Genomic DNA, 27,101 nt, shown 5'->3' with positions numbered 1-27,101 from the left:
CTGGTCAGGCCGTTATCATTGTCCTTCGTTAATCCACTGTACCTAGACAACAGTTACATCCCCAACCCGGACAGCCAAGGGGGTTCTTTAAAGAATAGAACGTCCCCCTTTTACTAAGTAGGCTTATTAGAAAATGCTAGAAGTTACCCTTAACGCAAGCAAGTGGCCTTTTTCCAAGTTGGGGATTTAAGAAATTTACTTATCTATTTTTTGTATTTTTCCAAGGTGGTTTTGTGTGTGTGTGTGACTTTGTTGTTGTTTTGGTTTGGTTTTTTGCCTTTTTCCAAGTTTGGGATTTTTTTTCTTTCTCAAAAAGCGAACCTGTTTTCTGGATGGAGGCCCAGCGGGACTTGTTCCGGCCGCAGGTCTCGGTCAGAAAGAACGCTTTTGCAGCGGCAGAAAGGGAGACTCGGGATCCGGGCCTGGGGTCCCGCGGCCGCGCCCCTCCCCACTCCCCGCGACCCGCTGGAACGCGCACGGCCGGGGACGGCGGCGGGGACGCGCGCGGGCAGGCGGCGCGCACGGCCGGATAGGCGCGAGGGGGCCGCGTGAGGCGGTGCCGGCGTTCTGGCCCCCAAAGCCGGTCTAGCGCGCCGGGCGTCTTCCTTACTTCCGCTGCCGCCGCCGCCACATCCCGGGACCCGACGGGCCGCGGCGCGGAGGCCTCGGGGCAAGGTGGGGCGGGCCTCCCGAGCTCCCAGGACCCCGCGCGCTTCGCCCACAGGCCCGGCGAAGCCCGACCCGCGCGGCGCCCCCAGGGCCAGGGGAGGAGCCTAAGGACCCGGACGAGCGCCGCTCCAGTAGGGTGAGCTCGGGGACGCGCAGGCGGGTGGGTTTCAGCGCCTGGGCCCCTCTCCCCGCCGCGGGGCGCACGGAAAAACCGGGGAACCCGCGGGTTTTGTCCTGGCGAGCCACATCCCGGTGTGTTTTGGCGACTTGAAGACCTCCCTAGTTCGCGGGAGTAGCGGGAAGAGCCTTCCTCGCGTTAATTATGCAATAAGAAGGCGTCCTTGTGCGGGATGCTGTGACCCGCGGAATTATTGATATTGTGCGAGCCTACAATTTACTTCTTTCATCCTTGGCTGAGAATTTGCGTTTGTAATTGTAGATGGAGAGAGGAAGAAAGGGTTCAGCTTGGGTCCAAGGAGCATGCAGAGGAAGGCAGGGAAGAAGGAGCATGTGCAGCTTCGGTGCGAGGGGAGTCAGGGGTGGGAATGCACGTTCCCTGCCTGAGGGGCCCCGGGGTGCCCTGAGCCTCTGATCTTCGCTGTCAGGAGGCCTGTCCGAAGTTGGAGGTTGAGGCATGCAGTTCTGCACTTCTGGCTGGGAAGGTGAACCAGGTTTTCCAAAATGTCATTTTTGCTTTCCAAGTCTGCAAGGCAGGAAAGGGTTGGGCAGTGAATGGAAAGTAGTGCAGCCAGGTTCTGGTTAGCTCAGCGGCAGGACTGTCATAACGGTGGGTTTTTGTTGTTGTTGTTGTTGTTGTTGTTTTGTCTGAAAACCAGAGTCTGGGGCTTTGGGCCATGAGGAGTTGGGTTATTGCATTGCTTAGAGTGCCAGAGTGAGAAATGTCTCAGACGCTGTTAAAATTAGGCAGCTCAGTTTAGCTCTGGCTCTCTGATAACCAACCACCTCCTCCTTCACTCTTTTCAGTGACTGGGTTAAAATGAAAAGACACAAAGAGAGAAGTGGTCTTTTCCCTTCCCTCCCCATTATAATTAAGAGCTTAGTCCATCTTGGCTCAGAATTGGAATTCAGAATTCAGAATTGCTCTTGACCCTGAAGAATAGAATCTCAAAGAAATACCTGAGCAGAAAATTCTCTTCTTCGCTGAAATGAAAATTGGAGTGTTTGCAAAACTGAACAAAGAAAGGAAAGAATTTGTAAACATCACAGGCAACTTGCAGTTATATTCGGATCATTTTTCAGTGTTTGAGGAGTTCATACAATAAAAAGGTGAGAGAGAGCCAGGAATAGAAACAGGGGAGAGAGGTGGTTGCAGGACCTTAGAGATTGCAGAAACCCAGGAGTTCATTTTCTTTTCATACACTTCTGGATAACCTGGATGTGAGGACCATCAAATGCCGTACATGATGTTTCTAACAATGATGGACCACATATACAACAGTGGTCCCATAAGACTATACTACCTTATTTTTACTCTACCTTTTCTAATTTTAGATACACAAATACTTACCATTGTATTACAGATGCTTACAGTATTCAGTACAGTAACAGCAGTACAAGTTAGTAGCCCGGGAGCAATAGATGATTCCATATAGCCTAGGTGTGTGGTCAGCTGTACCATATAGCCTAGGTGTGTGGTTAGCTGTACTATCTAGGTTTATGTAAGAACGCTCTGATGTTTGCAGAAGAACATCGCCTAACGATACATTTCTCAGAAGGTATCCCTATTGTTAAGTGATGAATGACTGTATATAAAGCTTAATCTTTCAATCAACATAATAGGAAATTGCTTTTAATTTTAGCATTGAGTTCTTAGAGTAAAGGGAGGCAGAGAGAGACCGTGCTGCATGTGTCCCAGTCAGCTTGGGCTTTATTGTATGTTAAATGAGTTGTATGTTTATTTTGGTAGATCTCCTAAATCCATGATCTAATTCCATGACTTTGGCTTGTTTCTGGTTTTTTATGATATGGCATTTGGCTAAAATTTTCCAGGTGCTAAAGGTGTAAGGAGTACGAAAATCCAGAGAACATTTTGCATTGGAAGAATTGATCATCTTGTATAGGAATCCTATAACTATTTCAAACATACGAAACAGGCATAATTGGATTTGATTATTTTTGCTACAAAAAATGTTTCATTTTTCACACTAAGTTACATGGAAGAGTCTTTTAAACAGCTAGTGGTTTTGGTACATTTAGAATATTCATTTACCAAGAAATCCAAATATAACCTGCCTTTGTAAGAGACCCATTCTGCCAAATATATTTGAATCATCAAAATGGTTCACTATTTCCTTCCTAAGTATAAACCAAGTTGTATTAAGTAAGTTGATCTTGTAACTTTTAATAATGCTTTTTTTTTTTTAATTTTCCTATCCAGTGACAAGAGGAACCAAGAACCTCAGTTCAGGGGAAACACAGCAAGGAAATGTGAGCCCCAGGCTGCAGAAGGTACGTGAAGGAGAATGTGAGCTCATCAGTTATTTGAGCATGCCATTCAGTATTGTTCCTGCCTTTTTTCTTGCCTGTGCAGATTGTAAACTCTTGATTAGGAGTATGTAAATGTGTGCTTAGAAACGTTTCCTTAAATATAATAATAGGAGCATGCTCTGAGGCTGGGATTATGTGAGTTAGTACCTGCTGAGACCTGTGCTTGGTACAGAGTGAACCCCATACAGGTGTTTACTGTATATTATTATTATTGTTCATGAAAACCTGTCTTAACTACAGGTGTATTTCTCACTGGACAGTTAAGAGTGTTTTCATTCTCCTAACTAAGGGTGGTTAATCGTTCCAAGGCGGTAAATTGTAAGGATGACAACAGAGAAGACAAAGGAAATTTCTGTACGCAGATTGAGAGAAACCTTTACTATGAATTTGAAAGTCTCAGTGACATGCAATAGAACTTTATAGTATAAATTCATATGCCACACTTTGCATTATGGAGTTGTAATTTAATGATTCTATTGATAGGGTAATGCATTGTAGTTCAGAATGTGCTCAGGGTTGATGGTGAAATGTCCCCGTTTCTGCAGCCCTGGTCTGTCTAGTTCTCATCTCACCTGTCATCCTCCTGGGGTTACCAGTTCCTTGTACATTACCAGGTTTTTGTGTGTGTGTGTGTGTGTGAAGTTTCCTTTAGAGTCTGGCTGTGTTTTAAAAGTTGAGCCCTGGACATGTGATCCCTGGTATGTGTATGAGGTGAGGTTGTCAGTAAAGGGCCATTGACAGGCCTCCTCATCTGACCCACCCCTGTCCCTGCTTGCCCACTCTGCATGAGGAACACTGGCCTTCTTGCCACTTTTGGAATTCTGGGACCCAGACCACAGTCTTTGCCCAGGGGTCTGCATGGCTTGCTCCCACAATCTGTCCTGCCTTTTCTCAACATCCTGCCCATGCCCTTGTTTATTAGCCACTGCACCTGTCACCTGGCTTGATCATATACATTGATCACTTGATTTGTTTATGGCCCGTCTATGTCTGTTAGTAGGAAGCACTGTGAGAGCAGGGAATGTGTGTTGCTATATCCCCAGGGCCTAGAACAGCCCCGGCTCAGAGGAGGGCTTTGGTAAATATTGCTGAATGAAAAAATGTCTGGAAAAAGCCTGGTTAAGCAGAGTTAAGTGGGCTTATTTACCATGGGACTTTTCAGAAACTTTAGTAAGTGAATGCGCATATTAAAAGTGGGGCCTGGCAGGTGGGAGGCAAACTCATCAGCAGAGTAAGAAAGGCGCTGTGCTTCTGGATGACAACTCAGACATGGGGAAAAGCTGCTGGCGGGAATGGTATTGGCAGCTGAGCAAAATGAATTTACAAGTTTCCTTTTCAAAATGCAGGGGAGGAAGGATTTGCATCAAGAGATGGTAATAGTAACATTTCCATTGTTAGTTATTACAAACATGTACAATGTGTGCTATTTATCTTTTATTTAAGGTGGGGAAGGGGGAAGATTAGGGCTTCTTGTAGATTCTTCCTTCCCTGACCCTGCTTTCCCCATAAGGCCTTAAGTTCTTCAGCTGCCAGTTCATCCTTGTGGGTTGAACTGAGGAACCAAACCCTCTGGCTTGGTTTCAGATCCTGACATCTTGACTTGTGAAAATCCCATTTAATGACTGGAAGTAGGAAAGCTCTGAAGATGGATATGCAGATTCTAGGGGTCAGGAGGCTCTGTTCAGGGCCTGCGCCATGACCGAAGGGAGGGCGTGTAGGGGCTCAGGTTCTGCTCCCACCATTAGCTCTAGAGGCACTCTGAGAGTTGTCTTGGCTCCTTGAACAAAGGGGAGTTAATTACAGAAAATGCCAGGCTTTTTAAAGGCCATTTGTCCCCTAGCTGTAGGGAGAGCAGCAGCCCTTGGCAGAGCCCTGAGGAAAGACTCTTTATGTCAGGCCGCAGTCCTCTTGTAGACAGAAATAATGAGCCTTGGTGGTGTCATCCTCAGATAGGAGGCAAACCCCATGGTGAAATTCTGTATTCAAGGAAACAATGCAGAGAATGGGGCGGACTTAGAGGAGCTGGGGTGAAGTGAATTTGGAATGCCTCTCTTTTAAAAAAAAATGGGGCAGAGTTTTGTGTTGTTTTCCAAAGTCAGACAAAGCCTGATTCTACAGAGTCTAGTTAACCGTAGATGGGAGGGCTGTAAAGGAGAGTAAGATGAAGGCAGTGATGGAAGGTCTTAGATTCTAATTAAACCTCTTTTAGCTGTGTATTTGGAACACTTGTAATTCAGAGCATCAATAGACTCTCGTTGACTAGATGCTTTTTTGCTGCCAATTTTCCTTCTTAAGATGGAAGGAGGTGGTGGGAGAATGGCGTTTATGCCAGAATGCCTAGAGTCTGCATTTTAACAAGATCCCCAGGGGGATTCATGTAGGCATTAAAATTTAAGAAGGGGTGAGGTCCTGGACCAGCAATTCTCAGTCCCAGCTGCTCATTAGAGTCACGAACAGAGCTCTTAAAAAATGCCTGGGTACTGCCTCCAGAGATTTGTGTTGTCTTGGCTGGGGTATTCTTGGGGCCCGGGGTATCACTGTATTTCTTGGAAGTTTCCCAGGTACCGCCCCAGACATAAAGCCAGACACCTTCAGGTAGATGTCTAGATTCAGAAGGCACATAATCCCGAAGCAAATGACACCATGCTTAGCTGGGCACACCACTCTTTAGGATTCATCAAAACCCACCACACCAGATAATGTGGATCCTCGTAGCTCATCCGCTGGCTTCTAGAGCCACAGCCAGAGATGATGGGATGTGGAGCACCCAACCGGGGTTGCTTGTGCCGGGTTAGAATTCTCCCTCCTCCATGAATGAAAATGACCTTGAGACTGGGCAGTGGCTGAGTGGGCATTTGCTTTTTGTACCTCTGACTCTGCTGCTGAAGAAACTGTTTCAAAATTTAAATCAGATCATGACATCACCACCCCTCTTTTCATGTAAAACTCTCTTCAGGGGCTCCCATTGCTTGCAAAGAAAAGACCATAATAGCCCTGGCAGGCCCCATGTTGTCTGGCCTGCATCTGCCTCAGCCTGTGCCCCAGAACTCCAGCCACATGGGCCTGCGTTTAGTTACTCAGGGGCCCATTCCCTTGGCCTGGAACCCTGCCCTTCACCTTAGGTAACTGTGCTGTCCCAGACCACTCTGCCCAAGGCACATCCCATTGTATTTTCTCCCCACAGCACCATGTCCCTCTCACACCATCAAGTACCACTCCTCAGATAGCTTCTTTCCTTCGTGTGGGCCTGTTAGACGACAAGCTCTGTAAGGACAAGAACTGTGTGTGTTTAGTTAGGGACTCAGGGTCATATCCTTGGCAGCTGTTTTACTGCATGAATGAATACACTGGATACTGGATAATGAATAATGAGCTTGAAGTCATTATTTTTAGGTTATTTTGTCCTTAAACTTGTATGCACATACACACCTACTCATGTTTGAGTGCTGTATTTTGTAAACTGTAGAGATATTGGACCTGAGGGAAGTGGGTATTTTGAGAGAGTACTGGGCTGTAGTCTTACTGGTTCTGATTGGCTCATGTAGGATGTGACTTGTAGAACAAGTCCCAGTTTTCTAAATTTTTAACTAGGCCGGGTGTGGTGGCTCACGCCTATAATCCCAGCACTTTGAGAGTCCAAGGCAGGTGGATCACTTGAGGTCAGGAGTTCAAGACCAGCCTGGCCAACATGGTGAAACCCCATCTCTACTAAAAATATAAAAATTTTCCAGGTGTGGCGTGCCTGTAATCACAGCCACTCAGGAGGCTGAGGCAGGAGAATCGCTTGAACCCAGGAGGTGCAGGATGCAGTGAGCCAAGATTGCACCACTGCACTCCAGCCGGGGTGACAGAGAGACACACTGCCTCAAAAAAAAAAAAAAAAAAGAAAAAATGCTTATTACAAATATTTAAAATATGAATTGTATAAAGTACAAAAAGAGCTCTTACTGTCCTCTCATGATTTTATTCTATGTATTACATATATGTGTCTATGTTTGTATATGTGTGTAATCATATATATTTCACACATACATGATTTTTTTAACAAATGGGATCATACATTCCATCCTGCAACTTGTCTTTTTTGTTTACTGGTATATCTTGACACTTTGGATATGGATCTATGTCATTGGCTTGCCTTTCATCATAGAGTTTTATTTGAAATGAAAATGTTTTTGGACTTCGGCATGATTTCCTAAACCCCCCAATCAATGTGTTTTAAGTAGTAAGTGTATTTGAATGCATATACATGCTGTGGCTTAGATCATTTTGTTTTCAAATAATACTGAAGTCCTCATAGCATTTGGTTGTTTTCTAGTCTCAGTTAATGGATATTAAACATAGAACTGCTCTGTGGAGACTAGAGAAATATTTTGAGGTTGAAAGGGGGCCTCATTCTTGAAAAAGCCTGGAGACCCTCAGGGAGAGGGTTGGGCAGGCTGCCTCCTGAAGTACCTTTCCACATTCCTGAGTTCTAGTAAGTTGCTCAATTGACACAGTCATTCAGCAAATAGCAATTGTTGGCTCATGGTGCGCCAGGCACTGTGCTGGTCCCTGCTGTCCTGACCAGCATGAGCCCATATTCTGCAAGGAGAGCAAATGGCACATAGCGAGAGCATCTGGACTGTGCTGGGTGTAGTGGAGGAAGTGGAGCAAGGTCAGGTGGCGCAGAGCGGTGCTGGGGGTGCCACCTGGGTGGTGATGAGGCAGAGCTGACTCTTCCTCTGCTGCCCATGGGAAAGGGAGCAGGCCCTGCTTACCCCGAGTGTACAAGAAGCCCAGTGGCCGGGAGCAGCTCCTCAGAGAGCTCCCTCCTGGACCCCGCAGTGACTGCCCACAGGCTCTGTGGCCTGCAAGGGGCTCTACAGCCAGATATGGGCATGCTGGCAGGCAGCTGTGCTTGAAATGCTGATAGGGGCCTGGGGTGTAATGCTCTTCTCAAGAGAGTGGTTTTGGCAGGGCTAGGGTTTTGCCCCTGAAGCTTTGCAAATCCACATCCCCCACTGGAGTCTCCACGTGTCCTGGTACCATCCCGGGGACAAGAAGCAGGGAAAAAGCAGGGGAAGGAGGTGGGAACCCTGCAGTCCACCCTTCTCCTATCCTAATGGAGTGGCCAGGGAAGGGACTCTCTGTATATCTTAGTTTAGTAAGAGTTTGCAGAAGTCAAGTTAAAAATGGATTTTTTGAAAATGAAATACCCATGTGAAAGAACACATTGGATGATACATGGTCAGTTGCATGATTGTTGAGAAGGTCTTCTGACTGATGAGTGTGCAGGTAGCTGTTTGTTCCTGTGGATGAAAAATGGGAGCCCGAAGAGCTCTTCATTGACACACCCACAGCCACCTAGCTAGGGAGAGGGTGAGTGTAGACCAGTCCCTGACCTCCTGCCCGGGTGAAAGACTAGCTACGGAGACGGTGAGTGCAGACCAGTCCCTGACCCCAGCCCAGGTGAAAGACTAGCTAGGGAGAGGGTGAGTGTAGACCAGCCCCTGACCCCCCGCCCAGCTGAAAGAAGCTAAGAGCTCCTGACTTTTAAATGAAAATCCAATACTTAGGAAGGCACATATGGCTTCAGGAGAGTGCACCTCTCAGTTTTCAACTCATGTAGTTGGAGAAATCCTATCCCTAGGCCACCTGGCTTCCTGGAGAACAGAAGAGGTGCTATTCATTTTCAGGTAAGGCTTCATTATCTTCCCACTTTACCTGCAGATGAGCTCAGTGGGCGAAATCATATTACATTCCTTCAGAAGACTAGTTCCATTGGAAAGATTTGATTCTTAAACTATAAAAACCTCCAAAGTGCTGTCCTGAGGCCGGGCGAGGGTGATCAGGGGTTGGAAGCCTGGAGGGAATGAGCAGAGCAGGCAGTGGAATATGCAGTTCCCAGGTCCTCCCGCCACATGCTCTGCAGAGTCAGCGCGTCACCTGCAGGAGGGAGGCAGTGCCTCTTATCGTTGTTCCCTTTTTCATAGCACTGATCCTAGGAGAGGGTGGGTTGCAAGCCCCAGGACACTCAGAGCCAGGACCTGTCTGTTTAGAATTGCATGCAACCTGCGTGGTACATCCTGTTCCTTTTACTCCCTCCCCAACCCACCCTGGTGCCTCTGCTGCTTGGTTAGAAATGGCCTGCAGCTGGCATTTTTCAGGGGGGTGCTCTCACTGTGACCCATGAGGATGGACCCCCCTGAGTGCACTGTCTTAGAGGGCTGAGCTCAGTGGACTTGGTACTGCTGGGCCCTGCATCCTCTGGCCACAGTCTAAGCCTCAGTTTCTTGAAGGGAAGTTAGCAGTTGCTGGAATAAGAGTGTGTCTTGTTTTTTTCTCTCTTCTTGGTGTAGACCCTACTGTCGCATTAATTTCTGGCAACCACACTGAGAAAGGTGTAGATTAAGCTGGAAAATCACGAAGAGTGCCAAGGGATTGGTCAGTTTTTACTGGGGGTCTGCACCAGGCCAGGTGGGTGCTGGTTTTTTGTCTACATTGTCTCATTTAATCCTCATGGCCACTCTGAGGTAGTGGTAGGAGGAGGGCCTTCTATTAGAGATGGGACATTGAGGCTTAGAGAGGTTAAGTGACTTATGGAGTCACAGAGCTAATGGGTGTGAGCAGGGATTTGAACCAAGTCTGGGGTTCTTTGTGCCTCACTATCTCTGACATGGAGTGGCGGAAGGAGGAGGGGATTGTGGGATGGAGACAGGAGACAGGACAGCTGGCTTGCAAGGAATTTGGCATGCCCCTGCTGGGTGGTGTTGCTGATAAACTACAGTACACTCGGTTAAATGTGAAGTTCAGAAAACAACACATAGGTTTTTGTTTTTGTTTTTTTTTAGTATAAGTATATGTAATATTTGGGACATACTTTATACTAAAAAAATTAACTGAAATTAAATCTAACTGGGTATCCTGTGTTTTTATTTGTTCAACCCGACTTGGGGAACCTGGGAAGGACACTGGGCCTCATATCTGGGCACAAAAAATACTGGTTTTGGGGGGGAGTATAAGTATGTCTTATGCAATATTTGGGTTATACTTACACTAAAATTTTATGTTATCTGAAATTCAATCTTAACTTGGGGGATGTCCTGTATTTTTATTTGTCTAATCAGGCAACCCTATTGGTGACCCCAGGAAACACACGAAGCCTTATACACGGGCACCTGAGGGTGGTTTGCGAGCCATCCGGAGAAAACCCAGGCAGCTTGGCAGGTGGTGAGCTCCCCACTGCAGGCTGTATTCAGGTGTGGCCGGATAACTACGTGGTGGGTGTGTCATGGATCCTATTTGCATTCCAGATGCCTGGTTCCTGTGAGATTCTAGGATGTAAATGTTGAGACAAGGAGAGTGATTCACCTGGGTCTTCATGGAGCTCTGACCCACCCAGGGTTAGGAGGCTCTCTCTGAAATTATTTGCCATCAGCACTGTGTTGAGGGGACCACTTCTCCCTGCCATGCAGAAGTGATGGATGGCCTCAGTCAGTCGGTGGAAGCCAGCTCAGCCCAGGGTCTTGTCTGTACGTGGAGAGCTTTGGCTTGAAGAAGCACTGTGTTAAAGGTGAAATGAAACACACTTTCTTGTGTCACCTGCCAAGAACTGACAGTGACTTCCCAGTTCTTTATGTGCCTCCTGCAGGAGAGTGTGGCTTCTGTGCCAGGCTGAGGACCGACATGCCCCGTGTTGCTCCCTGGCTGTGACAGCATGAAAAACACCCACCTCAGTGTTCTACCCAGGCCGCTGCTGGCAAGTGGGCGGAGGCGAGAAGCGTCAGTGTTCATTCCTTTGCTTTTTTAGAGCTTCTCTAGGTGTGGCTACATCTTGTCAGCCAGTCAGAATTTTAAACACAGCCAGCTCCTAATTGCCCCAGCATGGCTTCTGCCCACTATGAATGACCCTCAGCTAAGGCCTAGTCCTTGGCAGGCCTCTTCCTGCCACCTGCTTCCAGACCATCGTGGGAGCTCACTGGGACCTTAGCCTGGGCCCAACAGGAGTCAGGGATCAAATGTGCAAAGGAGTCTTATTCTGTGTTCTGAGAACACAAGGAAGTGGTCTTCTCTCATTATCATGTCTCTCCATTAGGGTGTTCTAAATTTGATTTTATTATTGAATCAATCATTTATATTATTAATTCAATATGAAATGTTAAATGCCAAGTCAAACTACCTATTGTAGCAGTGGAAAAAAACGGAAATATTTGTGCTGATACTTACTGACTGAAATCACCTGTCGTTTTCATTCCTCTTTGTTGACTTGATGTATTTGTAAGCAGCAGGGGCATCTCGCTTGTGTTTTCCAGGAAGAGTCAGTGAATGGCTGCGGTGTGACAACATGCACCACCAGTGGCTTCTGCTGGCCGCATGCTTTTGGGTGATTTTCATGTTCATGGTGGCTAGCAAGTTCATCACGTTGACCTTTAAAGACCCAGATGGTACGTATGCTTCATGGTGGAACGAATTTTGGCTAATTTAGACCTAGCTGCAACACTGTTCCTAGGTACATGCATAGATGACTTCTGTCACAGAGTCAAAGGACTTTCATGCCAGCAGGGACCTTGGAGGTCATGGCCTCCGTTCCTTCATGTTACAGAGGTGTGAGGGGAGGTAGGGTGGGAGGGGCTGGAGGGTCTTTTCAAGCATCTCCTCTGGAGGAAGGAAGCTGCTCTTTGTGGCTGAGGCCTGGGTGGTGCCTAGGAGCAAGGAGCAGGGTCTCCTCCCAGCAGCACAGTGGCCTTATGCCTTGCAGCAGGGCGCCTCTCAGGCTCGCAGTTGGGAATTCTCTTTGCCTCATGTCATCATGAGAGGTGCAGCCTCAACTGCTTGGCATGCCCGTGTGGTGGCCACATGTTTGAAGGTCACCCTCCATGCAGCGGAGGAGGGTCATTTAAATGTATGTCTTCAGGTTGTCTTGGAGGCTTTCTTAGCTCTCCTTTACTGAACGTAGGCATTCAGATGAGGACGGATAAAGAGCGCCAAATTGGGTCTCAGAATGCTGATTCTACTTCGTGCTCTTGTCATTTGCTTATCTACATCACAATGTTTCTTCCACCAAATGGACACCCTGCCTGCTCCGGCACCGCCCATGATTGCCCTGAGCATGGTGAGGTGCTCTGTGGTCTGTGGAGTGCTGGATATGTCCAAAGAGGTGTGTGATATGCTCTCCAGCCCCGAGGCCACTTCATTGAGTGGCCAAGCAGGCAAGCACGAGGAAGCCAGACACATGGAGTCATTGAAGTCCTCATTTGTGCCGTGGATTGGCCCATTCCTTTAGGCTGATTGGGAGATACTGGGGAACGTGGATGAGCACAGCACTTTGCTGTGCTCTGCACCGTACTTTGTCCTCCTGCCGATGGTGGCCTTGGAAAGGGGCAGTTAGAGATGCCTCTGTGCCAGCAGTTCTTCCTGGAGGCTGCACTGACCTGTGCTGTCTGTGTGGGACAGGCCCCTGCTCCACCTCACAGAGCTCCCAGGCATGTCCCTGGCTGTGTCAAGGACTGCCCGATGTCCTACACCTCCTGCCCCATCCTCTCTCTGCCCCACCTTGTCTGCAGAGGGACAGCAAGGTTAGAAGGGAGGTCTGCAGGGAAAAGAGGGACACCCTGAAATTAGCCCACATGGTGGTTCTCCCCATGACAGTTGTTGGGCCCTGATTGGCTGTCATCACATGTCCTGCCTCATCCTCCAGGAGCCCTGGAGAGAAACCTGTGAGGTCTGCACAGCCTCGGGAGGTGATATTACACCTGCAGGTATCTGGGCAGGTGTCACTGAGCATGACAGCTCACGCCCGGGACTCGGGGTTCCGTCAGCAGAGCAAGGGTCGATTCTTGGAGGGTTGCTGGAATGTGACACGATGATCTCAGTTTGACAGTTTGGACATTTCCATGGCAGCTTCAGCACAGTGCCATGCCACTGAGAGATCCCTCCTGAAGCCCTAGAGCCGGGTTCTCATCCCCGCAGCACTTCAGAATCACCTGTGGGACTTTACAGACCTGCTGCTGCTTGAGACCCAGTGAAGGAGAATCACTAGGGGTGGGGCCCAGTTGAGAAGCACAGTGGTAGATCCTAGCTGGAGAACTGAAGAGAAACAGAGCTGCTGAGAATAAGAAATAGGTGTTACTCAGGATTCTCCTAAATGTCACCTCCTGGTATGGAAGGCACTCAAAAGGCAGGTCATGAGGTTAAATTGTTTATGGTTTATTTTGCTTAAAAAAGTAGGAGTAGATGTAATACATTTTAGTGAGACTTCTATAGGTAATAGTTAAATAAGACTTGTGCCTTTGTGTTTTACTGTTATCTGGCAGAATGGCCTCTAAAGAATGCCTTGTTTCCCAGCGGCATCTGGTAAATGAGGTCTCATTCTCCTTTGATGTATCAAGTTTTGTGCTGAATGTTTTCAGTGTAGACACTGATCCTGGAAGCTAAGCAGGGGTAGGCCCGGTTAGAAAAAAAGCAAGTGTAGGCGCAGAACAGGGTTTTGTGAAGCGGAGAAAAGGAGTGGTAAGGAGTGTTAGGAGATAAAACCTATGAAGAAAGATGAAGGGCTTTCGGATTTTACACCTGGAGAGGAGCACCGCAGCGGTCCTTAATACTGCCTGTGAGATCTTTCCAGCCGGCTGCCTTCAGGCGAGTGAAAGGGGGCACTTTCCCTGCCCTGTGAGATCTGGTGTGGTGTGTGGGTGCTGGGTCACTGAGATGGGAGTGCTGCCCCTGACCCCGAGGCAGGGGCTGCTGGTGGTGAGGATGCTGTTGGCCGCACAGTGTGCAGTGAACTCAGTGAGAATCTTCTGTTGTGGGCCCACTCCCGTTGCGGGGTGACCACCACAGCACTACCCAGCCTGCCTCACTCGCGTGAGATGTTACCTAATTGTCCCAAGGGACCTGGTTAGGTTAGGATCCTGAAGGTGGATATCCGCCAGCTGAGTTCTGGATGCAGGATGCGAGCTGGCACCCAGCATCTTGCCAGTGCACAAGGACGCTGGGCTGAAGCATCAAGAGCATTTACACTCAGAGCCTGCCCCTGCAGGCGTCAGAGAGGCCCTGGGCTGGGGTGGTGTAGGCCTCTCCCCTGGAGCCTGCCCTTCCAGCACTGTGCTTTAGAGAGTGTGTCCCGGAGCCTGGATCTTGGGCAGCACAGGAACCCCTCTAAGCTCGTGGCCATAAAGGGCTTCTCACATGTTGGAGTTTATTTCACACACGTTCACGGTGTTTTTGATTATGAACCAGAAGCCCATTGTGAAGTGTCAAGACCAGGAAATAACAGACACGGCAGTGTCCACGGTGGGGAGTTCCATTTCCTGGAAAGTGCGTGGAGAAGCCTTGGCCTCAGTGCTCCCGGGCTGCTCCTTTCAGCTCTGTCCTCTGGGACAGGGCCAGCCTCAGAACCCCCATCAGTGGTGTGCATGTTCTTCTCACCTACCTGCCTTTCCCGGTTTCTCCTGCCACTGGAGCCCCTAGGAAGAGCATGGTTGTCGTGAGTTGCTGTTTAAAGCAACACTTACTTTTTTTAGTGTTACAGTTTCTGTTCAGCTCAGCAGTGGAGCCAGTGATATTTGTGGCAATGATTTATCCTCAGTTAGCAAATTTCAGTATCATATTGAACTAGGATCAGGTGTTGTAACTAGACTTTCTCATAAGAAAATAAATCCCCCTCAGCGAAGGGAATGTGATGGAATCATATGGCAAGACTCAAAATGATGCCCTTGTGGACCTGGTTTGTGTTTGTAGGCGCTGGTTTTTCCTCTCCTGGTTGACTTCCTCATTGGTTCTGAGCCGCTTGAGGGCAGAGCCTGTGATGTGAAGGTCTCTGCAGCCTTGACCATCTTTGCATGTACTTATTTGCCATCTGCGGATACTCTCCAGTGAAATGTCTGGGTGTATCGTACCTATTTTCTAATTAGATTGGTTGGTTTTTTAATTGTTGAGTTTGAGGATTCTTTATATATTTTAGATAGGAGTCCTTGGTCAGATAAGTGGTTCATAAATATTTTTTCCCTATCTGGAGCTTGTCTTTTCCTCCTCTTCAAATGGGCTTTCACAGTGTAGATTTTCTCTTTGGTTGTTTTTTAAAAAGATTGATGGTTTTATGTTTCACATTCAGGTCTGTGATCCACTTTGAGTTCATTGTTGAATAAGGGGTGAGGTTTGGATCAAGGTTTGTTCCGTGTGTGAATGTCCAGGTGCCCCAGCACCATTTGTTGGACAGACTGCCCTCCTCCGCTGAATGGCTTTTATGGCTTTGTCAAAAGGCATTTGGGCATCTTTGAGAGCTTCTATTTCTGGGGCCTCTGTTCTGTCCCATCCACCTGTGTGCCTTTTCCTTTTAGAGAAGACATTCAACCTCTCTGTCTTCCAGTGTACAGTGCCAAACAGGAGTTTCTGTTCCTGACAACCATGCCGGAAGTGAGGAAGTTGCCAGAAGAGAAGCACATTCCTGAGGAACTGAAGGTGGGCACAGCCAGGCCGTGGTCCTTGTCCTCTTGAACACGGCACCCTTGTCGCGGGGAGCTGGCCTTCCCCTGTGGCTGGTTCCGCTTGTCATCACGTCTGCGTTAGAGCCTTTTCCTGTGTTACTTCTCCATGTTAGTTCACCTTGTTAATTTCCATTTGGGAGAGGCACAGGTCACGTCTATTTTTGTGCCCCTCACAGAGCTCTGTGCATCAGGGCTGCTCTGTCACTGTTGGTTGTGCAGCATTCCTGACCAGCTGAACATGAGCCTTGCCTGGGGAGCCGAGAGTATTGGGCAGGGTCAGGAGGAAACCAGAAGTGGGAGAAGACATCTCACCCAGTCATGGGGTTTTAGAGTGAAAGGGGGCCCTGGACAGCAGAACAACTAATTCAGCCTCCAAATTGTATGGATGAGAGAACTGAGCCTAGAAAAAAGGTGGATCCTCCACAGTCCCATGGAGTTCCTGGCGGAGCCCAAGGCTGCTGACTTCCACCCAGCCCTTGCTGGCTTGACATTCTGGCTCCATGGCTCTCTGCAGGCTTCTTGTGCACCTAAATTCCTGATCATTCCCTAGCTGGGATGAGGGGTGCACTCTGGAAGGCCTCTCACTTCGTAACCCCCATTCTGGATCTAGAGGGTTGAAGTTGCAATTGTTCCAGAAGGAATGAAATGGGTACAGCGAGCCCTAAAAATATTTTTAGCCCAGAATCAAGCCGTAGAGGTTGGGACAGCTCCTATCCATGGGTCACAGTGTAAGGATGATAAATTAGAACTCAATAAACATAGAAAACATACACCAGTCAGTAGAGTGCTGCTGGAGGTTACTTCTCGTAGGACATTGATGGAATGGAGGCCAAGTTTACAGAACTCTGAGACAGCCTAAATGTTGCTTTTAGGTTGAGGCATCCCAGGGTAAGAAAATAATTTGGATGGGGTACAGAAACGAAACCAAAAAATCTTATGGGAAATAGGAGAGTGGCTTTAATAGGATGGATTTAATAGGAAATCAAAGTTACATGGATAAAAACAAAGGTAGGGTAAGCCTTTGGCAAAGTGTCGCAACAAGGTTCCCTCAAGGATGCCATACCCTGTGAGGAAGAGGGTGGTCATCTTGGTGCTCCCTCTCCGGGTGGAGGGTGCTCCCGGAGAGATTGCCAGCCTGCAGGAGTCATTGCAAATAAAAAGACTGCGCCTGAATGTGCTTTACAGTTTGCAGTGTACTTTACTGGGTTTCAATCTCATTGGTCTTCCGAGCCGCCCTCTGAGGTATATTTTTATTCTGTTTGCATTTGGGAAACATGAGGCTCAAGGAACTGTGCTCACTGGGTCAGTATCCCCTGGACAGCAAGTTGTGGGCCTGGGCTTTGAACTCAGTGTCCTCTGTGCCCCTCTCTTACCCGCTGCCCCAGTCATTCTCATGAGACTCAGATGGGAGGTGAGGGAAGTGGGGGATGTCAGAGGTGATGTCCGCTGAGGCCACATGCCGTTAGGTGACACCAAAACTCAGCATGTGTCTTCTCACAAGAAAGGGGATTTATCAACATGATCAGATTCTGTAGCTCACCTTTAAAAGTTTATTTTGGCCAGGTGCGGTGCCTCACTCCTGTTATCCCAGCACTTTGGGAGGCCGAGGCGGGCAGATCACCTGAGGTCAGGAGTTCAAGACCAGCCTGGCTAACATGGTGAAACCCCATTTCTACTAAAAAATACAAAAAAATAGCCAGGTGTGGTGGCATGTGCCTGTAATCCCAGCTACTCGGGAGGCTGAGGCAGGAGAATCTCTTGAACCCAGGAAGCGGAGGTTGCAGTGAGCTGAGATCGTGCCATTGCACTCCAGCTTGGGCAACAAGAGCGAAACTCGGTCTCAGAAAAAAAGTTTACTTTGTGCATGGTGTAGCCGAATGTTTGAATGGAAAATAGAAAATAATATTTGTCTTTAAGTTGGCTTTGTATATTTCCAAAGGGAAAAAAGAAAACAATGCTCATTCTTACACACAATTGAACAAGAAATCTTTTTTCTTTAGCTGGGCATGGTGGCTTACGCCTATAATCCCAGCACTTTGGGAGGCTAAGGCAGGAGAATCGATTGCGCCTAGGAGTTTGAGACCAGCCTGGGCAATATACTGAGACCTCATCTCTACACAAAATACAAAAATCAGGTGGTTATGGTGGTGTGTGTTTATAACCCCAGCTACTTGGGAGGCTGAGGTGGGAGAATCACTTGAGCCCAGGAGTTGGAGGCTATAGTGAGTCATGATTGTGCCACTGCACTCCAGCCTGGGTGACAGAACAAGACCTCGTCTCTTAGAAGAAGAATTTTTGTCTCTAATGCTTTGCTAAAAGAAAAGCAATATCTAATATCTTTTCTTTGTTCAAAGAAAAGCAGTATCTAAAAGTGCAGAGTTTTCTGCATTTTCTAAAGGGAACTTGTTGGGAGGTGCTCTCTCCTGATGCGCTGTTCTTGAGTGCCATCCATGATCAGGGTTAGGTTTGGAACAGAGAGGGAGGAGAAGACAGAGAGGCTCTTTTGGGATAAGTGAGCAAGAGGTGGGATGGATGAGGAAATGAGGTTAAACGAGACCCGTTCTTGTAAGAGCAAGGAGAGTGCCTGGCGTGGCTCCTGGTTTTCCATGGTGGGTGGAGGGCCCGGGCAGCCGCTGATGCCCTGTGGGGAGGAACGGAGGCCACTCTGCAAAGGGGCCTCTCGCTTCCCCAGTGTCTTCATCTCGAAAAGCAGGCAGTCAGTAGCCCCCAGGATGCTCTTCCCACCACCAGGGAATCCCAGGAAATTCACTTAAACACACAAGGGAGAAAGCATCCTGGCCAGAGGTCATGAGTGTAAGAGAGTTTGGTTACAGTAGATCCATAAAGGAAGAGCTGGGTGGGGGGCCCTGAGGGGGGACCTCTGTCATCCTGATAGTTCCAGCGTCCCGGTTCTAGTGTGTTCTAGAAGTCTTATGTCCTTCCCATTTTCTAACTGACGTTGTCCCCTGGGAGGACAGGTTGTTAAAACTACCCTATAAATGGATTTCCTGGCAAGCCCAGTGCATTTTAAAAGATATAACAAGGATATTTGGGTCCATTCAATACAATTATTTGGAAGGATCATCTGCTTTGAAATTTTGGGAAGTTCTGTGTAGCTTTAAGAGATAGATATGGCCGGGCGTGGTGGCTTACGCCTGTAATCCCAGCACTTTGGGAGGCCGAGGTGGCGGATCACAAGGTCAGGAGATCAAGACCATCCTGGCTAACACAGTGAAACCCCGTCTCTACTAAAAATACAACAAAAAATTAGCCAGGCATGGTGGTGGGCACCTATAGTCCCAGCTACTCGAGAGGCTGAGGCAGGAGAATGGCGGGAACCCGGGAGGCGGAGCTTGCAGTGAGCTGAGATCGTGCCACTGCACTCCAGCCTGGGCCACAGAACGAGACTCCGTCTCATAAAAAAAAAAAAAAAAAGAGAGAGAGAGAGATGTAGCAGCTGAAGCCTTAAAAATGCTGAGAAACAGGGCCACAACTAGAGGGGGCCGATGGGGTTGGTGGAGGCTGCCCTGCTATTCAGGAATGCCCTCAGGATGCCTCCAGAGAACAAGGAGGTGTGAGCAGCAAGGGGACTTTAACTCACCGAGGACAGGGGGCCTCTGAGCAACTTCTGTGTGTACTGGCACATCTCCCTGTGCCCCCTCCAACCCATGCACACACAAGGCCTCTCACATTACAGGTATTCTCTTAGGTTCTAAAACAGCCCTGAAAAGAATGGACCAGCATGTAGAATTTGAGCTTTTTCATCTTTTTCCCCCTAGCTAGAGGATTCCAAACTTCTTACTTTGGTTTTTAATTTCTTTTTTCCCCCAAGACGGAGTCTTGCTTGCTCTGTCGCCCAGGCTGGAGTGCAGTAGTGCGATCTTAGGCTCACTGCAACCTCCACCTCCTGGGTTCAGGTGATTCTCCTGCCTGAGCCTCCTAAGTAGCTGGGATTACAGGTGTGCACCACCACACCCAGCTAATTTTTGTATTTTTAGTAGAGATGGGGTTTTACTATCTTGGCCAGGCTGATCTCGAACTCCTGACCTTGGGATCTGCCCACCTTGGCCTCCCAAAGTGCTGGGATTACAGACATGAGCCACTGTGCCCGGCCTTATTTTGTTTTTTAAAGTCAAACTTCTCTCCAAAGATCTGAGGAACCAAGCTTGCATTCATTTTCCTTGCCCAGCCTGCCGATCGGGCTGGTGGAGAGGCTCTGAAGGCCTCATGAAGGGGCTGGGGATAGTGGGTGTCACTCTGTAGACAGACAAGGAAGGGAAGAAGAGAAGGCTCCAGATGGAAAGGAGGGGATAGACCAGCAGGAGCGGCTCTGCTTGGCCCGGTCCTGCCTCCTTTAATGGTCCCTGGGCCTCTTCTGCTCTGTGTCACCTGCAGCCAACTGGGAAGGAGCTTCCAGACAGCCAGCTCGTTCAGCCCCTGGTCTACATGGAGCGCCTGGAACTCATCAGAAACGTCTGCAGGGATGATGCCCTGAAGAATCTCTCGCACACTCCTGTCTCCAAGTTTGTCCTGGACCGAATATTTGTCTGTGACAAGCACAAGATTCTTTTCTGCCAGACTCCCAAAGTGGGCAACACCCAGTGGAAGAAAGTGCTGATTGTTCTAAATGGTGTGTGTGGGTCTACTGAATGTCCACTGGGAAGGGTCTTGGTGGCCGGTGCTGAGGAGGCTGGGGAGGACAGCAAGGAGGAGTCACAAGAGGGCTGGTTTGACCTGAAGGGACTGGTGGCCGTCCAGACAGGCCTGTTTTTGTTGTTTCCTGTTAGTGTTGTGCCTTACAAGTTAGTGGGGCTCGTTTAGACACCGATTCTTTTCAAAGGGGCACAGCCACAGTCCAGCTCTCCTCACCTGTCACAGCAGATCCTCACTTTAGGTGGCTCGCCCACCCCCAGGCCCCCCTCCTTTGTCTCTTCAGGTTCCCTGTGCTGATGGTTATAGTCACCCACTCTGTCCGACATCCCCAGGGCCCCACACTCGCAGAGCCACCAGGAAGCCTCACGGTCACCCTCTCTGCAGTGAGAAGGGCTCACACTGTAGAGCCTGGGAGGGGAGCCCTGGCCCGGGGCCTGGAGCCTCTTTACCTGCAGACCAAGCGTTCTGTGCCAGCGAGCAGGAAGAAATTGTACCCCATTTCACACTAAGCATCTGTGTTCAGAGGATTGAGTCAGCTTGCTTCAGGAAACCTGATGTTTGCTAGGGAACAAATTAGATCATCACAAAGTAACCTCATACACTGCAGTTTTGATTACTCACTACTCTTTTTAGAGATGTCTATTTATTTAAATTCCAATTAGTCTGAACCGATCCTAATAATTATGGGCTCTGCTTATGAAATTTAGCTTCAGACAGGAGTTAGTTCCAGTCAACAGCAGTGGGACTCCTGGGTCAGAAATCGGATTTTGGGGCACCATGGGTAGGTGGCCCTAAGGCTCCATGTCCTGCTTGCCACTCCTGATGCTGCCCACAGAGTCGGTGGTCACTCCTGGCCACTGTTTGGCCTTCGCAGGGGTTGGCTGGGAGAGAGAATGGTGGCACCTCATCATCTGGTTGTCACATATAATTAATGTGCTTCTGCAGTGATTGGATAGCATGTTGGGTTTTCAGAAGCAGAATGAGGCTGCAAATCGAATTGAAAACAAGGAATATACAAAGGCTCACAAATCAGCCACCACAGTGTGAAGCAGCATACTTTAAGAAGTAAACACCCACTTAGAAGGGCAGCATAGAAATCAGAGTGGGCTTGCTGGATCATGTAATACAGAAGCGGGTGGTCCTTGTGGCTATCTTCGGTAACCACTAGTGCACCTGGATGGGGACAGGTGCATGAATGGGCCCATATGTGGACCCACAGAGCTGGTTCTGTCATTGTCCCCTTGAGAGCAGTGCTCCCCACGCCTAGTTTACAGCCATCCATAGCATGTACCGCAGAGTTCTGGACTGGGCTTTAAACACTCGGGGGAGGAATCAATAAAACAGACAAGACTGTGTCCACTGGTCAGATGGCCCAGGGAGATTCTTCCCTGCCAGGACTCCAATCTTAACCCTACCGGATTAACACAAAGATGGATATTAAGGCTTACAGAAACTTGGAGAAAACCTCAGCATACTGACAGTGTATTTCCATTTGTCTGTATTGAGAAAAGAGTGAAAAACCTGCTCAGCCACCAACCCTAGGATGGTCTCTGCCCAAGTTCCATTCAGCAGCCTGGACCTGCACTGGTCCCTGATGACAGACCCTGGCTGTTGGCACGGCCCTGCCTTCTCGACATACCTTGTCCTCTTTTGACTCCTGTCTCAAATGTATCACAGCTCCCATAGCTTAGTCAGATTTTTCCAGCATCAAAAGGTCTTTGCTCTTTGCCAGCCTGGGATGCTGCTGGGGTACCTGAGAGCCACTGTGGGCCAGGGGCATGTGGTGCTTGGAGAGCTTAGCCTGTCTATGGGATGGGGCTGTGAAGCTGCTGCGGGCATCTGTTAGCATGACGTTCCAAAGTCCTGCTTCTCTGGCATTTTCCCCCAGTCTCAGAGTAGAGTAAGTGTTGCTGGTGTTAGGAGTTCTGTTTGCATGCAGCGATCTTCCTCTAATGGCAGATTTAGCCCAGTTAGGTCCATTGCCAGGGGTAGGCACTGCCAGCATTTCCACTCCTGCTCCCTCCCCCTCCTCCCTGAAATCATCAGTTTCCTCTAGTTGGCTTATGGATTCCCAGAAGCTTTTCTTCACTCGTTCATCCTGCTGGCAGAAGCAGTTGAAATTCAAAGACCTAAACTTGGATATTGGGGGTGGGCTTGTCATGCACACGTGGGGAACATGAGGCCCAAGGTAAAGATGAGGTAAGGACATGCCCTTCTCTAAGGGGCGTACTGGAGCAGCCAACCTGCCTTCCTTTCCGTTTACTTCCCAGGAGCATTTTCTTCCATTGAGGAGATCCCCGAAAACGTGGTGCACGACCACGAGAAGAACGGCCTTCCTCGGCTCTCTTCCTTCAGTGATGCAGAAATTCAGAAGCGGTGAGAACAGCTTCCTCAAAGGGGAGGGGGGAGTTTTTGTAAACCTGAGAAGAAATTTGGGGAAAACCCCAGGCTGAGTTCTGTACTTGGCAGATTGATCGGAGGACCACAGAGGGCTGTCGGTTTGCATCAGTGAGAGGCAGCTAAGCTACACCCCCCATTCGGCGCCTCAAAACTCTCAGTTCCTTCTGAGAATTTCCAGCCTTACCTTCACACAGTCCATTAACATGAAGGTGACATCATTTTGTTAATAGAAATTAGCAGGCAACTTTGTTCTGCTTTGGTAAAGTTTTATAGATTGCTTGCTGAATATGATCTTTTCTTTATAAGAAAGGGATTTGGATTGCAGAGATCTCACTGAGTATTTGATTCTCCCAGAGGCATTGTGCCCACTGCTGTGGGAGCTGCCCCTGCAGTGGTTGTGTGGGCTGCATCCAGCATGGGCAGGGTAGAGAGACGGAACCCCTGATCGCAGCAAGGACGGAGTCCAGGCTGGGCGCAGTGGCTCATGCCTGTAATACCAGCACTTTGGGAGGCCGAGGTGGGCGGATCATTTGAAGTCAGGAGTTCAAGACAAGTGTGACTGACAGAAACCCCGTTTCTACTAAAAAAAAAAAAATAGCCCGCTGTGGTGGCACACACGTGTAGTCCTAGCTACTCAGGAGGCTGAAGCAGGAGAATCGCTTGAACCCTGGAGGCAAGGGTTGCAGTGAGCCAAGATCTGGCCACCGTACTCTAGCTGGGGCGACAGAGCAAGACTCTGTCTCAAAAAAAAAAAAAAAGAAGATGGAGTCCTTAGCTAATAGATGAGAAAGTTCTCATGTAGTAGCTCTCAGGTGGCCCAGGAGAGCAAGGCTGAAAAGGAGTGAGGATGCAAAAGCAGCGGCTCACGTCAGGTCACCAGCTGGATTTTGCCTCCTGGGTCTGCAGCCACCTGCCTTGCATGGCGCCTGACCTGCATGGCACCTGCCCATCCTTACAACCCTTACCAGAGATGCTCCTGGTGAGGAGTGTCCTGCTGTTGCCCTGAGCACTCATGGGGCTTTTGTGAGACTCAGTGAGTGAAGACACGGCAAAGCACAGAGAGCAGTTTCTGGCCTGTCGTAATCACACCGTGTTCTGTGATGTCACTGTTGTCATCGTCTTTGTCATCGTCACTGCTGCCGGCCCTCCTCCCCAGGGCCATGCTCTGCTGCCGCCCGCTTGCAGCTCACCCAGACCTGCTCCTGCCCTCTGGAGCGTGAAGCCTGACTCTCTGTTTTCTCTTGCCCCCCTTCCCCTGGCAATTTGAATTGAACTTTTAAAAATATGCCCTTAAAGTAACTTTCCCTGGCACCATCTATTCCTGACTCAGAGTTCCTGCCCTTATGATTTTCTGCCCAGGAACAAAATTTGTAAACATTCTTGAAGTTTTGAATCATTCAAGTAAAACAGAAGGTAGATTAAATAGATGTCTTCACAGTGACTGCCTACAATGAGTACTGTGGCCTTGGACAGGTAAGGTTTTCCAAGCCTCTGTTTTCTCACCTGCAAAGTGTGGTAATAACAGGATTAATCCACAGGATCTTGGAGTAGATTAAGAGACGTGTGGAATGCATTCATGGCAGCCTCGGCACGTGAGGGTCCCATACACAGTGCTGCACTCCGCTCATTCTTCCCTCTCCCGCCCCCTCAGCTGTGACCTCCTGTGGCATCAAGTTAACCTCTTGTTCGTTTTTTTCCTTAGATTGAAAACATACTTCAAGTTTTTTATTGTAAGAGATCCCTTCGAAAGACTTATTTCTGCATTTAAGGATAAATTTGTTCACAATCCCCGGTTTGAGCCTTGGTACAGGCATGAGATTGCTCCTGGCATCATCAGAAAATACAGGAGGAACCGGACAGAGACCCGGGGGATCCAGTTTGAAGATTTCGTGCGCTACCTCGGCGATCCGAACCACAGATGGCTAGACCTTCAGTTTGGGGACCACATCATTCACTGGGTGACGTATGTAGAGCTCTGTGCTCCCTGTGAGATAATGTACAGTGTGATTGGACACCACGAGACCCTGGAGGACGATGCCCCATACATCTTAAAAGAGGCTGGCATTGACCACCTGGTGTCATACCCGACTATCCCTCCGGGCATTACCGTGTATAACAGAACCAAGGTGGAGCACTATTTCCTGGGCATCAGCAAACGAGACATCCGACGCCTGTATGCCCGTTTCGAAGGGGACTTTAAGCTCTTTGGGTACCAGAAACCAGACTTTTTGCTAAACTAATGCATAAGACCTATGAATTCAAATATCTTTATTAGACCTGGGGCTAACCAGGTGAAGATCTGAGCCCAGAAATGACCCTTCCTCCACCACACCCCTCCTTTGAGGACGCCCGGGGTCTCCCACAGGCCTGTGAGTTGCCTCGGCATATGACGCAGAACCCCAACTGTTACAACTTAGTTTGGATGTAAGATGCTCTGAGGACCCTGCCCACACCCCTGCGTGCATTAGGATGTCGCTGGCCTTTGCTCACCTCAGAGGGGAGAAAAGGCTAAAGATTTGCAGTTTGACAGCCCAGCAGGGAGGAAGCATCACACAGCGTTAGGAGCCGTTTCCTTCAGGTGTTAAGGAAGGGGATGCCCCTGAGGTTCTCCTGGCTAGTCAGGGTGGCTTCACCCATCACTGGTGGGTTGCAGGAACAGCACCCAGGACTCTGAGGAGGGACAGAGAAGCAAGGGGGCTGCTGAAATCGCAGAGACTTTTGCAGCATCAGATCTGAGGAGTAAAACGGCACCTCTGGCCTTCATCTTGGTGCTGCGACAATTGTGGAGGCAAAGCATTCTTTCTGTGACTATTTTGTTCCTGTAGACAGTCAGCGATGGCCAGAGGGTGGTGTGGTGTCCAGGGGTCCATCTTTCCAGAATCCATGCCTGTGTAATGCTGGTCCATGCTTCTGAACCTGTGTCTGCCAAGCGCCTATTTCATTCAGCACAAGACATACGATTTTAGAAGGTGAGGGGAGGGGAGGCTTTTTCTACCTGAGAAGGGGAGTGTCTTTGAGGGCCTTAAAAGGACCATGGCCCAGGAATGGGGGCGCTGGTTGGGCTTGGAGCTCAGGCTGCTGTGGATCCCGGCGCATCAGTTCTGACTTGCCTTACCTGGGTGGACAGCAGTGAATCTCCACCTGTCTTCTCCAGGGAGCTCCCATGTTGGGGCTGAAGACGAGCAGGGGCAACCTGCCAGCATCACAGAATTCAGTGTAGTTTATACATTTCGATTCCTTTCATCTCAGCAAAATGGGCACTGCCAGAGCCATTTCTGATCACACCACCATCCTGGACCATGTGACTGGAAGGTGGGTAACCAAGTTCACCAGCAATAAAACCCAGCGCCCAGGTAGCCTCCAGCAGTGCGGCTTCCTGGCAACAAGGTAGGCCCTGGTGCAGGGCAAGCCGCAGCGACCATTTCAGATACCGTCCACAGCCAGGACCGCTGAGAACTGGGACAGTTTCCTGGGATGAGTGCCAGCCTGAGCCTGCATGGTGCCGCCGAGCCCGGGGTGGAGGAGGGAGCCAGGCTTCGCTTCAAGGCGGCCTCTACCTTTTCTCAGAATGGTTTCCTGATTGTGTCAATGTGAAAGTTAAATAAAATTTATGTGCCAAACCTGACATGAGCTGCGGTTCTGGGAAGGGTGCCTGTGGCCACGCGCGCCCCAGGCAGGTGGGGTAGGCATGTGCGCACGCATGCATAGCTGCTCAGGGTAAGCAGACCGCAGGAGGCCCAGCCTTCAGCCGCCATGGACACGCAGGGCCGAGGACGCCACACTGGGTTATTTTTCTGTAACGTTTAGCAAAGTCTTGTTACAATTTCAGACCAAATGAGCTGATTGATTACCTCTTTGCTGTTTGGAATCTAACTGTGGATCTGTATATGAATGGAAGGCCTTAAAGCTAGTCTTAATTAAAATAGTGTTTTCCCTCAGAAACAAAATTCTGGCCCCTGGGGTGGTCTCTTCCTCCCCTTTGGCATTTGGGTCATTTTCCTAACATATTTTGCCACACAAGTGGAGATTGCTACCATAGTATCTCCTGGACATCTCACTGTGTCCACAGCAAGGATGCCGCCAAGCACGGCAGCCCACCCCGTTCATTTCTGCACAGCCAGTACCCCCACTCCCCTGTCCCCTGACTTCCTTCTGAGGCTCCAGATCCACTAACTCCCTCCTCAGCTTACAGCAGGTGGTGCACCTCCTTCTGCCCCCTGAGGCACCACCATGTGGAGGGCTCTGCTACCCTGTCTGGGCGTTCCTCAGGACTGGGCTGGATGGTGGCACAGCTCATTCCCAGGCAGTGACACCAGGGTGGGGGTGGCTGGAGTAGGCAGGCCTAGGGGGACCTCTGCACTAACAGCCTGGGTTTGAGAGAAACAAACAGCGACCCTGCCTCCAAGA

The 27,101-nt window shown here is 49.2% G+C and overlaps 1 protein-coding gene across 15 annotated transcripts, besides 10 other annotated features; it reads left to right on the top strand.

Annotated features, from left to right (window-relative positions):
• Positions 406-855: a silencer, noted in NCBI's record as "silent region_11815". NCBI's record gives its function as "represses an Ori minimal core promoter by ATAC-STARR-seq in GM12878 lymphoblastoid cells {active_cell/tissue: GM12878}" and the evidence as "EXISTENCE:reporter gene assay evidence [ECO:0000049][PMID:35858748]".
• CHST10 (carbohydrate sulfotransferase 10) lies at positions 511-26,319 on the top strand. 15 transcript variants are annotated; one of them, XM_017005381.3, is made up of 9 exons: positions 511-805; positions 3,068-3,138; positions 9,519-9,636; positions 10,473-10,732; positions 11,472-11,603; positions 15,524-15,615; positions 20,037-20,271; positions 22,565-22,670; positions 24,397-26,319. In XM_017005381.3, exons 5-9 carry the CDS (start codon positions 11,504-11,506, stop codon positions 24,932-24,934), a joined length of 1,071 nt encoding a protein of 356 aa, XP_016860870.1. In that variant the 5' UTR covers positions 511-805; positions 3,068-3,138; positions 9,519-9,636; positions 10,473-10,732; positions 11,472-11,503; the 3' UTR covers positions 24,935-26,319. The 15 variants fall into 15 exon arrangements, with proteins under 15 accessions (XP_016860870.1, XP_016860869.1, XP_011510512.1 ...); XM_017005380.3 differs by having other exon boundaries at positions 10,287-10,732; XM_047446437.1 differs by having other exon boundaries at positions 803-921.
• Positions 866-1,015: a silencer, noted in NCBI's record as "silent region_11814". NCBI's record gives its function as "represses an Ori minimal core promoter by ATAC-STARR-seq in GM12878 lymphoblastoid cells {active_cell/tissue: GM12878}" and the evidence as "EXISTENCE:reporter gene assay evidence [ECO:0000049][PMID:35858748]".
• Positions 5,701-6,228: an enhancer, noted in NCBI's record as "OCT4-NANOG-H3K27ac-H3K4me1 hESC enhancer chr2:101028413-101028940 (GRCh37/hg19 assembly coordinates)". NCBI's record gives its function as "activates a minimal SCP1, AML or CMV promoter by ChIP-STARR-seq in primed H9 embryonic stem cells {active_cell/tissue: H9 hESC(primed)}" and the evidence as "EXISTENCE:reporter gene assay evidence [ECO:0000049][PMID:30033119]".
• Positions 12,563-13,064: an enhancer, noted in NCBI's record as "H3K4me1 hESC enhancer chr2:101021577-101022078 (GRCh37/hg19 assembly coordinates)". NCBI's record gives its function as "activates a minimal SCP1, AML or CMV promoter by ChIP-STARR-seq in primed H9 embryonic stem cells {active_cell/tissue: H9 hESC(primed)}" and the evidence as "EXISTENCE:reporter gene assay evidence [ECO:0000049][PMID:30033119]".
• Positions 22,459-22,718: an enhancer, noted in NCBI's record as "active region_16294". NCBI's record gives its function as "activates an Ori minimal core promoter by ATAC-STARR-seq in GM12878 lymphoblastoid cells {active_cell/tissue: GM12878}" and the evidence as "EXISTENCE:reporter gene assay evidence [ECO:0000049][PMID:35858748]".
• Positions 22,889-23,148: an enhancer, noted in NCBI's record as "active region_16293". NCBI's record gives its function as "activates an Ori minimal core promoter by ATAC-STARR-seq in GM12878 lymphoblastoid cells {active_cell/tissue: GM12878}" and the evidence as "EXISTENCE:reporter gene assay evidence [ECO:0000049][PMID:35858748]".
• Positions 23,419-23,528: an enhancer, noted in NCBI's record as "active region_16292". NCBI's record gives its function as "activates an Ori minimal core promoter by ATAC-STARR-seq in GM12878 lymphoblastoid cells {active_cell/tissue: GM12878}" and the evidence as "EXISTENCE:reporter gene assay evidence [ECO:0000049][PMID:35858748]".
• Positions 24,099-24,168: an enhancer, noted in NCBI's record as "active region_16291". NCBI's record gives its function as "activates an Ori minimal core promoter by ATAC-STARR-seq in GM12878 lymphoblastoid cells {active_cell/tissue: GM12878}" and the evidence as "EXISTENCE:reporter gene assay evidence [ECO:0000049][PMID:35858748]".
• Positions 25,908-26,408: an enhancer, noted in NCBI's record as "H3K4me1 hESC enhancer chr2:101008233-101008733 (GRCh37/hg19 assembly coordinates)". NCBI's record gives its function as "activates a minimal SCP1, AML or CMV promoter by ChIP-STARR-seq in primed H9 embryonic stem cells {active_cell/tissue: H9 hESC(primed)}" and the evidence as "EXISTENCE:reporter gene assay evidence [ECO:0000049][PMID:30033119]".
• Positions 26,409-26,909: an enhancer, noted in NCBI's record as "H3K4me1 hESC enhancer chr2:101007732-101008232 (GRCh37/hg19 assembly coordinates)". NCBI's record gives its function as "activates a minimal SCP1, AML or CMV promoter by ChIP-STARR-seq in primed H9 embryonic stem cells {active_cell/tissue: H9 hESC(primed)}" and the evidence as "EXISTENCE:reporter gene assay evidence [ECO:0000049][PMID:30033119]".

This window comes from Homo sapiens, chromosome 2 (genome assembly GCF_000001405.40).
Source record: "Homo sapiens chromosome 2, GRCh38.p14 Primary Assembly".
Taxonomy (NCBI): Eukaryota; Metazoa; Chordata; class Mammalia; order Primates; family Hominidae; genus Homo; species Homo sapiens.
Note: the sequence above shows the minus strand (reverse complement) of the source record. Positions and strands in the feature narration are given on the sequence as shown.

Excerpts from the sequence above, each read along its gene's own strand:
- CHST10 (NM_004854.5), top strand. The coding sequence starts at position 11,504 with ATGCACCACCAGTGGCTTCTGCTGGCCGCATGCTTTTGGGTGATTTTC. Across the intron at positions 11,604-15,523 it reads GACCTTTAAAGACCCAGATG|TGTACAGTGCCAAACAGGAG; the intron begins GTACGTATGCTT and ends TCTGTCTTCCAG. Across the intron at positions 20,272-22,564 it reads AGTGCTGATTGTTCTAAATG|GAGCATTTTCTTCCATTGAG; the intron begins GTGTGTGTGGGT and ends TTTACTTCCCAG.